The sequence below is a fragment of the Homo sapiens genome, chromosome 13 (assembly GCF_000001405.40).
Source record: "Homo sapiens chromosome 13, GRCh38.p14 Primary Assembly".
In the NCBI taxonomy this organism is placed as follows: Eukaryota; Metazoa; Chordata; class Mammalia; order Primates; family Hominidae; genus Homo; species Homo sapiens.
In genome coordinates this window covers 53,831,925-53,844,644 of record NC_000013.11, presented here as the reverse complement: position 1 = coordinate 53,844,644, position 12,720 = coordinate 53,831,925, and the positions used below count along the sequence as shown (strand labels likewise).

The window sequence follows — 12,720 nt, the reverse complement described above, 5'->3', positions numbered from 1 at the left end:
GGAAACTGTGCTTCACTTTGCCAAAGCAGACACATAAATATGGAAAAGACAACTGTGTGAAAAAATAGTGATAGAAAATAGAATAAACCTGCTACAGCACTGCTAACTCTTAGGAATCTTACCATAAGCCAAGCCCTTTTTACGAGCTTCATAGGCGTTTGCTCCTAAAATGTCCTGACTGCCTTGTGACAGGCTCTGAGAGGTGGTGTGGTTTGTCCCAGGGCATGTACCTTATCAGTTGTGGAGCCAGCATTCAAATTGCAGTACCTGATTCTAGAGTTCATCTTCACCACAAAATACCTAAAAGAATGAGCAGAAATAGAAACAGGGTGAAATGGAGAGAGAGAACAGTCTCCCCTTTCCAACAGCGTTCATGAATGGAAATGCTTATGAAGGAAACATGTTAAGGAGATTATGAATGAAATATGTAGCTGTACTTCTCGACCCACTAATAATTTAACCAATATTAATTGAATATCTAGTAACTTCAATCAAGACACAATGTTAGCTGTTGAAGATACAAGAAATGTTTCTATTTGTTTGACTTCATATCTTTCCATAAAGATCCTTCAGGGTCTCCCTGGTACTTCGGGGAAAAAAAAAGTGGTTGGGGGAAAGCATTAGGGAAAAGAGCTAATGCATGCTAGGCTTAATACCTAGGTGATGGGTTGATAGGTGCAGCAAACCACCATGGCACACGTTTACCTGTGTAAAAAAACTATACATCCTGCACATGTACCCCGGAACTTAGAATAAAATTTAAATTAAAAATTTAGAAAAAATAATCCTTAGTTTGACGTTAAGGCCCTTCATCATCTAGCCTTATTTCCCGATAGTGCTCTTGTAGCCTGTTCTCAAGCCATTCTGAAATAGTCAAAGACCACCCCTGATGTTTTGGTAAATTTCTTTCTTTCTTTTTTGTTTTTGAGACAGAGTTTCACTCTTATTGCCCAGGCTGGAGTGCAATGGTGCTATCTCGGCTCACCGCAACCTCCGTCTCCCGGGTTCAAATGATTCTCCTGCCTCAGCCTCCTGAGTAGCTTATAGGCATGTGCCACCATGCCCAACTAATTTTGTATTTTTGGTAGAGGCAGGATTTCTCCATGTTTGTCAAGCTGGTCTTGAACTCCCGACCTCAGGTGACCTGCCCGCCTCGACCTCCCAAAGCGTTGGGATTACAGGCGTGAGCCACCACGCCCTGCCGTTGTGGTAAATTTCTATAGGCTCTTCTCTCTGGCAATATCCCTCCCCTACATACCGCTCCTATTACCTTTTGACCTGGCTAATGCAAACCCTTCAAAATTCAATTGAAACATATCTTGTAAAGTCTTGTCTGACAAATACAAGTCTGAGATAGGCATCCTTCCTTTCTGTTCACACAGCCCCTCACATTATTATTTTCAGTTTATTTTTCTCCACCAGTAACATGGAAAGTCTTTTCAAGCAGGCACTGTCTTTTACCTTTTATGCTCAGAACTAAGCCCGGCCATAGGAGCCATACAAATATATTTGTATTAACTTATATTTGTATTAACTTATATATGAAGGACATATTTTAAATAGCTACTACATAAAACACATAATTTATCAACTTTAAATAAAATAGAAAATGAGAATACAAATAAAAGTATTTGACTTGTTCTTCAAGTACCCTTTTATATTTCACAAAGGATTTGAGGCATTTTACAAAAATACATTAATAAAAAGATATATAGTTAAGAGTCAGTATAAAGAGAAAATAGTCAACTCTGGCATTGAATATGTAGGTAAAAATGCATGACATATTGTATTATAGAAGAGTGGTGGGGGATGGTAGTCTATGTATATGGTTCCTGGTGACCAAAGAATGATCTGAATATGAAGTCATATCAGTTCTTCAGAAGAAGCAAAGCTATTCTTGATTGGTTTGTACACTAAAGGGAAATTTCTTATTTGGTTTCTCATAAAGGGGATTCTTTATGTAATAAAGAGCTCAATGTTTCCCTATGCTTCTTTATACTGCATATAATAACACTTTTCACGTTGCCCTTTCAGATGAAGTCTTTCAATGTGGTTAAATAACCTAGTACTAAATCATAATTCAGTAAAAGTAAGCTTAAGAGGGTGTTGAAATAATCCTGGCCAATACAGTATATAGACCCTTGTGATTATACTTGATTCAAAGGTAACACTCAGGACACCTAGAAGAACATATGCTGTGTGGCCTTCAGGAAATATTTCAAAAATGTGATATCTCAAAATGAGCATTTAATAATCAAACATCAAGAAATTTGAGTTTATATTTGACAAGAACCTGGAAAAAGAAACTTCTGTTCTTCGGATTAAAGCACATTTCTTACATTCACTAACAATCAATCGAGAAGGATAAGCATAAAATAAGTCTAATGAAGATTTTTGCCTGAATGTATGGCTAGTAAACGATATTTAAAAAGTATGCTTGGTGAAGTTTTTAGTTTTTTTTTCCTTTAGAAATTAGTCTTAGGTCTACTCCAGCAAATAGAAAGTTGGAAAATTGACAAAAAATGTTTCTAGGACAAAGCATAATCAATGTTACCTCATTATGAATGTTTCTTAATGTTTTAATCTTAAAGAAAAATTATACACATACATGTTCACATGAAATAAAGTTCAGATGGAATTTCTAATGCCAAACAATCTTCCTGTTATATACTCCAAGATGAATGAGCTGCAAACTAAAATTCCATTAGTCAATATGCTTAAAAAGTGTATCTGTAAAATGACAAAATTTTTATTTTAAAATATCTGAATTTGTGCTCTAGTATTAATAAGGGTATAGAAAGTCCTGAAAGGCTTTCTCTGCAACACTAAGAATATTGTGGGTGTGCAGTTCTCTCATCTTTCAGGAAAACAGTGTTCCAGTGGCCAAGTCCAGACTTCTGGTGCTAGTTATAAGATCAGCTTTTAGAAGTGCAGCACGCTTACACTAGTGAATGTGCACGATCTGAAAGAATTTCTGCTGAAACCCACATGGTTGGTAACTGGTGCTACTGGGACCAGAACTCAAGTGCAGTGTGTTACCTTCTCAGTGTCTAGTTTCTCTTTCCCCTACCTAAGAGGACTCCCTTTCTGGACTACACAGATGAGATGAGCCATAATTGCTCAAAGTCAATTATTACATCCCATTTCTCTGGCAACAGTGATTGATGCAGTATCGTCACCCCTCAGTATACATAAAGGACTGGTTCCAGGCTTCCTAAGATACCAAAATCTGCAGATACTTTAGTGTCCATGCAACCCACATATAGAAAAAATGGGCCTCACTATATTCAAGTTTGGCATCCTGTGAATACTGTTGGATGTGGAACCCATGAATACAGAAGGTTGCTGTATACATTAAAAATAACTTGCATATAAGTGGACTTGCACAGTTCCAAGCATGTCATCCAAGGGTCAACTATGATGAAAACAATGAGCTACATGGAAGTAACCTTGCCATGTTTGGCAGAATTACAAAATGGCCCCCATGATTTCTATCTTTTAGTGTTACTCCAGGCTTGTTAAATTACATAGCAGTAGGGATTTTGCCAATGTAATTAAGGCTACTAATCAGATTAAGATACAAAGATTATCTGGATTGACCTAACTTAATCACACAAGCCCTTTATAAGCAAAACATTTTCTCAAGCTGGTAGGAGAGAAAGAAATCAGAGGCATGGAAGGGATTTGTCATGTAACTGGCTTAAAAATGGAGGGGGTTACATGGTAAAGAATGTGGGTAGACTCTAAGGGATGAGAACATCTGACATGTAGCAAGAAAATGGCAGCCTCAGTCCTACATCACAAGGAACTGAATTCTTCAACAATGAGAATTACCTTGGACAATAACTTTTCTTCAGAGTTTACAAATTAGAACTTGGTCTGGCTCACATCTCGAATTCACTCTCCTAAAACCCAGAGCAAAGAACCCAGAAACTCCTTGCTGGATGTCTGACCTACAGAAACTGAAAGAATAAATTTGCATTGTTTAATCTGTAGGTCTGTGGCAACTTGTTACACAGCAATAGAAAACTAATTGAATTTCTAGAGGTAAATGAGAGAACCCCAGATGCTTCTGGCAGTCATTTGTTAACATGAGGGAACAGTCTGCCAAGAATTGCATCAACACCACAGAAGAGGAAGGAAATAGAATGTGAAAGAGTGGAAATTTGGTGCCTATATAATCTGATCAAACTTTTCCTCATACCTGAATACTTTTGGATATTTTTAGTACACGAGTAAATGAGTTCTATTTGTTGTTTATACAGTTGAAGTTTGGTTTTCTGTTACTTTTACCCAAAAATACTCCAACAGATTCAGCAAATTTCTTGATTTCTAAATCACAATTACTTTCTCCACAATGACATTGGCTAGAAAATGGTAGCTCTTTTTCCTGGGTTTCAGCTTCTATAAACCTCTGACTTAATGCAATCACTATTATAAACATGTGAAATTAAGTACAATAAGAATATATCTATACAATTTAGGATATGGAGTACCTCAGAGGAGATATGTAAACTAAAAAAATACAAGTTAAAATTTTAATTTTGATAAATAAAATATCTGAAATGTTGAATATATTGATAGCTTAATAGCATACAGTTTGAAGCAAAAACATAATTTCACCAAAAGGTCAAATAGACATCATCCAAATTGAAAAAGAGAAGAAACCACTAATGTATATTAATAAACAGAACACAGTTTCAGAATGACACTATCAAACAATCTAATAAGTGTACATATATAGTCCCAGAATGAGAGGAGAGAGAAAATTACTAAAAAAAGATTGAAAATATACAACTGAAATTTTCAATTTTTAATAAGTAGCATCAATCCACATATTCAAGAAGTTTAGCAGATCCTAAGTAGGTCCAAATTTTTAAGAAGACTATATCTACAAACATTAGAGTAAAATTGTTAAATACTGATAAAACATAGAAAAGCTTAAGACATCCAAAACATGCAGGAAAACAGCAAGAATGACAGTTGACTTGTCAGGAGAAAAATGGAAAGTAGAAAATTATGGAATATGTTTTCTGTGTGGAAAGGGAAAAAGTCTCCTTTTTCATTTGTGATGTATTTGAGGCATAACTATTTTCCTTAGTCTTGTGAAGGGTTTTAAAATTTCATCTTTTAAAAGATCAGTTTTGGTGATTTTTCTATTCTCTATTTGATTCATTCCTGTTCTGATCTTTATTATTTCCTTCTTCTAATTTTGGGCTTAATTTGTTCTTTTACTCATCCATTGAGTTATAATGTTAGACTGTTTGAGATCATTCTGACTGTTTGAGATCATTCTTTTTAAATGCAGTTTTTTATCACCATAAATCCTCCTGATACTAATGCTTTTGCTGATTCCATAAGTTTTAGTAAGCTATGTATTTGTTTCATTTGTCTAGAGATATTTTTAAATTCTCTTTTGATTCCTCTTTGACCAAATGATTGTTCAGTAATGTGTCATTTAGTTTCCCTGTGTTTATGAATTAGCCCATTTTCTTGCTGTTATTGATTTCTAGTTTCATTCAACATGTTACAGTATGATTTCAAATCTTCCTAATTTTGTTAAGACTTGTAACCTAATGTGATTTATGCTGTAGAACATTTCGGGTACACTTGAAAAGAATGTACACCCTTTTGCCATTGGGTCTAAATTTCTGTATATTTTGTTACATTTACTTGGTCTACAGTATTGTTCAAATCCACTGTTCTTTATTCATTTTCTGTTTGAATATTCTATCCATTATTTAAAGTAGGCTATTGACACCTCGTACTTGCCTCCTGTTATTGTATTGTATTGTATTGTATTGTTTTATATAATGTAAGTAAGTAGAGCCACTCTTGCTTTTTTGGTTAGTTACCTTTGTGTGGAGACTCTTTTTTCCATCCTTTTACTTCCAGCCTATGTAAGTCTAAAGTAAAATAAAAATAAATGAAGACATTACAAGGGATGTCTCAGAAATAAAAAAGGACATAAACAACTGTATGTAAACAAATTGGATAATGCAGAAGAAATGGATACATTCCTAGAAACATGCAACCTACCAAGACTGAAGTAAGATCCAGTACAATAACTATCAAAATCCCAATAGCATTTTCTCACAGATATTTAAAAAATCCTAAAACTTTTCTTGAACCACAAAGGTTCTGAATAGCCAAAACATTCTGAAGAAAAAACAACAAAATTGAAGTTATCACACATCTTTATTTCAAATTATACTGCAAAATAATAGTAATTAAAACAGCATGTTACTGGCAGTAAAAACCATGATACATGTAGACCAATAAGACAGAATAGGGAGCCCAGCAATCAACCAGCGCATATTTCATCAACTAATTTTGGCAAGGGCACCAAGAATACATAATAAGGAAAAGAGAGGCTCTTCAATAAAAGATGTTGGGAAAACTGGATATCCACATGCAAAAGAGCAAAATTTGAACTTTATCTTACACTATACACAAAAATTAACTTGAAATGGGTGACCTAAATGTAGGATCTGAAAACATTAAAATTTAGAAAAAAAAAAAAAAACAACGTAAGTTACAATCTGGTATTGGGCTTGGTAATTAATTTTTGGATCTGGCACCAAAACTACAGGCAACAAAAGCAAAAGTAAACACATGGGAATGCATTAACCTAAAAAGCTTCTACACAGCACAAGAAACAATCAATAAAATGAAAGCACAGCCTACAGAATGGGAGAAAATATTTTCAAACCGTATATCTGATAATGGGTTAATATCCACAATACATAAATAATACATAATAACAATATAAGTCAATAACAACAACCCAAATAATGTTAACATAAAAATGGGCGAACGACTTGAATAGACACTTTTCCAGATAAGACATACAGATAGCGAATAGGTATATGAAGAAGTGAGTATTATCACTAATCATCAGGAAAATCCTAATCAAAACTACAACAAGATATCATCTCATACCTGCTAGGATGGCTGTTATCAAACAGACAAAATGATAACAAATATTGGTGAGGATATGAAGAAAAGGGAATTTGTATACACTACTGGTGGGACTGTAAATTGCTACAGCCATGATGGAAATCAGTATGAAAGTTTCTCAAAAAATTAAAAACTGTATAAACCAGAAATCCCTCTTCTGGGTACATATCCAAATGATATAAGATTAGTATTTTGAAGAGATACCTATACTCCCAAGTTCACTGCAGCATTATCCACAGTAGGCAAGATATGGAAACAGTCTCTGTCCATCAGTGGATGAATGGGGTGTGTGTGTGTGTGTATGTGTGTTTAAAAACATACATACATGAATATATACATACAATGCCATGTTATTTAGCCTTTAAAAGTAGAAAACCTGTCATTTGTGACAACATAGATAAATCTTGAGAAAATATGATAAGTAAAATAAGCCAGATACAAAAAAATTCATAGTATTACTTATATGTGGAATCCTAAAAGTTGAATTTACAAAAACAGATAGTAGAATGGTGGTTACCAGAGGAAAAGGCAAGGAGAAATGGGGAGATGTCAGTTAAAGCGTACAAAGTTTCAGTTATGTAAAATGAATAACCTCTAGCAATGTGAAGGACAGCATGAAGACTACAATTACTAATATTGTATTGTGTATGTAAAATTTACTGAGAGTAGAGCCTAAGTGTTCTCACCACAAACACACAAAAGTTAACCATGTGAAGACATGGATATTGTTAGTTTGACTATAATAATCTGTTCACTGTGTATATGTATAAGAAAATATCAAACTTTACATATTAAATTGATATATTGGAAAATATTTGACATTTTACTTAAAATTTAAAAATACATTATGTGACCTACCAGTTCCATTCTTATGCATATAACTAGGGAAATGAACACATAAGTTTACCCCAACATTTTCACATGAATTTTCATAGCAGCACTATTCAAAATAACCAACAAATAGAAATGACTCAGATGTCAATCATTAATTAATGATAAATTAATATTTAAGAAACTTGTATACCCATAGAATAAAATATTATTGAGTAATAAACAGCAGTTAAATACTGATATGTTACTCATGAAATAAATTTATAAAGATTTATGCTATATGCAGACATAAAATAGTATATTGCTTGATTACATTTGTATGAAGTGTCTAATATAGGCAAACTTATAGAAACAAAATAGATTAGTGGTTGCCTGGAACTGGGTTTGGGAAGAAAGATTAGCTGTAAATTGGCATGAGGGATTTTTATCAAAGTGAAAATAGACTATGAGAATGTTACACAATCCTGTAAATTTATTAAAATTTATTGAAGTGTATAATTAAAATAAGGGAATGTAATGGCATCTATATAAACCATATCTCAAGAAGTATTTAGAAAATAACAGCCAAATAGAGACATTTTCAGACAAAAGATGAAGAAAACTTATTACCAGCAGATCTGTACTTTAAAAAATGCTAAGGCAAATTTCATGCTATAGAAAAATTATAGAAGACGAAGGCCCAGATATGCCAGAAGAAATAAAAAGTACTTGAAAAGATAAATATAGGAGTAAATACATAATGGTCTTTTGAAAAAAGACTATTGGTTATTTAAAGCAAGCATAACAACATTTTTGTGGCTCAAAAATATATGTAGAAGTAAAATATATGATAACAATATTACAGAGACTGGAATGACAGGGTAAATGAAATTATACTATTATATAATTCTTTTATAGTTCAGGAATTTTTATATTAATTCAATATAAACTAAACTCTAGTATAACCACTGAATATTAAAAAAGGATTTGTAACTAAAAAGTCAATAAAGATAATGAATTAGAATGCTGAAAAAAATTCACTTTATCAAAGAATATTAGGAAAGAACAAAGGACTAATGAAAAGATGAAGGAAATAAAATCAAAGTACAAGATAATAGACAAAATTATCAGCAATTACATTAAATGCAAATGAATTCACTCAAAAGATAGAGATTATTAGATTGACATAAAAAATAAGCTAAACAACTATAGTTGACCCTTGAGCAACACACAGTAGTTAGGGAGGTCTTCATCCTCATTGTCCTCATGTTGAGTAGGTCAAGAAAGAGGAGGAAGAGGAGGGGTTGATCTTATTGTCTCAGGGGTAGCAGAGGTGGAGGAGGTGGAAGGGGGTACAGAAGAGGCAGGCACACTCAGTGTAACTTTTATTGAAAAAAGTGTGTGTATCTTTGACCCACAAAGTTCAAACACTTGTTCAATGGTCAAATGTACATGCTTTTCACAAATGGCATCTTAAATATAAAAATATGAATGTGTATACAATAAAAAAGGAAAAGAAAGCAGATGTGGCTATACTAATATCAGAACAAATAGATTTTAAGACAATAAGTATTACTAGAAACAGATGGACATAGTGTAATGACAAAAGTATCATTTCCTGAAGATATTACAGTCCTAAATGTGTATGTTCCTATGTGTATGCATCTAATGACATAGCTTCAAAGGTATGAAAAAAAGTGAGAGAACTAAAAGTAGAAGTAGATACAGTCATAACTGGAGATTTTTAACACCACTTTCTCAATAGTAAGTAAAATAAGCAAGTGAAAATAAGTTTACAGGAGGTTTAAATAATTCCAATAACTGACTTGAATGAATAGATATTCATAAAGCATTATGCAAATAACTACTTAATACACATTCTTTTAAAGTGCACATGGAGTATCCACCCCCCTAAAAAACCATATATTAGCCATTGTTTTAGTCCGTTTTCTGTTGCTATAGCAGGATACCACAGGCTAGCCCATAAACAATAGAAGTTAATCAGGTTCATGGTTCTGGAGTCTGGGAAGTCAAAAACCATGGAATGGGCATCTGTTAAGGGCCTTCCTGTTGCATCATAAACAGCAGAGGTCATCATAGGGGGAGAGGGCAAAAGCTTGCCAGCTCAGAATTCTTTTGCTCTTCTTATAAAGCCACAAGTCTGATCATGGAAGCACCACCCCAATGATCTTATCTCATTCTAATTACCTCTCAAAGGTCTCACCTGTAAATATCATCAACATCTGAATTTAAGTTTTCAACATATGAAATTTGGTGGATATAGTCAAACTGTAGCAGTCATGAAGCAAGAATCGAATACTTTCAAAGACTTTGAATCATATAGAATGTTTTCTCTTCACAACAGAAAAAATTATAAATCAATAACAAGAAGATATCTGGGATATTTTCAGGTATTTGAAAATTAATTAAATTATTGGTATTCAGTGGGTCTAGGAAGACATTACAATAGAAATTCGAAGTATTTTGAATTGCATAAAAATAAAAATGCAACTGGTAAAGAGTTAGCAATGGATCTATGACATTTTCCACACTGGGAAATATTCTAGGAAATTATTAACTTTGACCAGACCTATTTGGGATCATGTTAATAATGGTATTTACTAAAAGCAAGATACAGAAAAAAAATTATTTTAGGGGAATAAGAGATTCCTTAGTAAGATATATCTGATCTTTCCAAATCACTTATTGTCAAAAAGAAAATCACCTGGAATTTACAATTTACAATTTATGGAATGGCTGGGTAGAGAAAGAAAGTCACACAAACATTTTCAATCTACATAGTAATGGAGAAAACTTAGAAGCACCAAAAGAAAACAGTTTCTTTTAATAACAATGTCCCATCTCATGTACATTATGTTCTACCAAGCTATTCTGAATATAAAATGCCTCCTAGTGGGAAATAAATTGTCAAATTAGAAAGCTATCTACAGGATAAGGTCACTGCAATATTTTATATATGAATGACATATATATACATATATGTACATATACCCATGTGTGCATATATAAACACTTGTCAAAGCACTTTTACTTAGACTATATGTAATAAAATTTCTAAAAATCCAACTAATCAATAATGAAAATGCAAACAGTCCAATAAAATGGCAAATCTTGAACATTTTTACAAAATATCCATATGGCTAATGTGCATATGAAAAGTATTAATTATCAGATAAATGCAAAATTAAAACTGTGATAAAATATGATATGTACAACAAATGCATAAAGTTTTAAAATTTGACAATATTTAAATGGTAAAGTGTGGAACAACTAAAAATTTTTATATATTGCTGATGGGAGTCCAAAATGACACTGTTATTACTGTTAGGTTCTTTCTGACAAAGTCTGACACACACCTACCTTATAAGCCACTGCCATATTCAAAAGAAATAAGTGCATATGTCCACATGAAGTATTTTACTAGAATATTTACAGTAGCTTTATTCATAGTGTCCCCAAAGTGTAAACAATCCAAATGTCCATAAATAGTAGATTAATTAAATCATAGAATTCTTACTCATAAGAAGGAACAAGCCACAAAGTGTGATAATGTGAATAAACTTCAAACCATTATGTTGAGTAAAAGTCAAATAAGAAAGAGTGCATACTGTGTGTTTCCTTTTACATCATGTTTAAGAACAGATAGGATGAAAATCATTGTTATAGCTATCAGAACAGTGAACACCTCAGGGAAAGGGTATTGAAAAGATATCCCCCTGGATAGAAGAGATTTCTTAACAGTTGTAAACATATGTCAAAATCCATTGTGCCTTATATTTAAGATTTGAGTATTTTATTGTGTGTAAATCATAAATTAATTGTACCTCAATAAAGTACTTTTAATATAAAAGGGAAAACAAATTAGCAGACAGACCCAACTATTTGTTGGAAACAGGACAATAAAACAATGTTCACCAGCTCAGGAAAGATTACCTGCCTTAATAGTCTCTATATAACCATCTCATTCAACATCAATTTCAAATAACTAAGATGTATGTTGAAGAAAAACTAAGACAGAAAGATGTATTTTTTAAAAAATAGAATAGTGGTCAAACTATGTTCTGTTTTCAAAGATAGACTTTAATATCATAATTCTGAAAGTTCTACTGGATTCAGTTTTCATATAAACTTTAGCTTGTATAGACAGTCTTAATATTTAGAAGTCAATAATGGCTTTTTAAAGACTGGCATACAACTAGTTCTTTTTACTATGTCAAAATCCATACATTTATAAATAAAGGTAGGATATTAAATTTGAAAGTACAGAAATAAATTAATCATATATACTAATATGTTAAGCAATAAACTATAATATGTGTCACCAATGGGAAAAAAGGGAGAAGTAAACATCTACATATTTCTGAATTTCAAAAAGAATCGAAAACATTCGAGATTGTCAGAAGAAGCAAAGTTCATCTTAGCACTGACTCAACAGGAAATTTCTCAAGTGGAATTTTACATCAGGATGCTGTGTGATATAAAATAAACAATGGTGTCAATAATATTCTGCAATAAATGCAGTAAGAATGTATTTTCTGTCATGTTCTCTGATAAAAGCTGAAAATATGCCATTATCAAACACACCCCCAGTAGCAATTCTACAAAATTTAAAATAAATATCATCCAAAAATATATGCTTTCTCACCTCGAGGTAAAACTTAAATTATCTAGAGGGGTGGAAACCAGCATATCAATTTTACCTGCACACAGAAATGCTGGCAAATGGAAAGGAATGATACTCTATTTCTATAGATGTCACTTTAAGATGGCACCATAACTCATAACTCAGAACTCAGAAGAAATTGTAGGGTAGTTGTTATTTATAATTGGGATGTATTTATATGCAAAGTACCCAGTTCTAGAACTGGACAAAAATTTTAATATGGCTGCTAAAATAAATGGCATAAACTGTGTTCTCATCTCTTCTAC

At 32.7% G+C, this 12,720-nt stretch overlaps 1 long non-coding RNA gene across 1 annotated transcript in view; it reads right to left on the bottom strand.

Annotated features, from left to right (window-relative positions):
• LINC00558 (long intergenic non-protein coding RNA 558) overlaps positions 1–12,720 on the bottom strand; it is a 60,701-nt gene that overhangs the window by 31,475 nt on the left and 16,506 nt on the right. Inside the window, exons 2-4 of the long non-coding RNA NR_047488.1 lie at positions 5,856–5,906; positions 3,835–3,962; positions 123–300 (exon numbers count right to left, since the gene is read on the bottom strand). This is a non-coding gene — a long non-coding RNA (long intergenic non-protein coding RNA 558). The remainder of the gene's footprint in view (positions 1–122; positions 301–3,834; positions 3,963–5,855; positions 5,907–12,720) is intronic.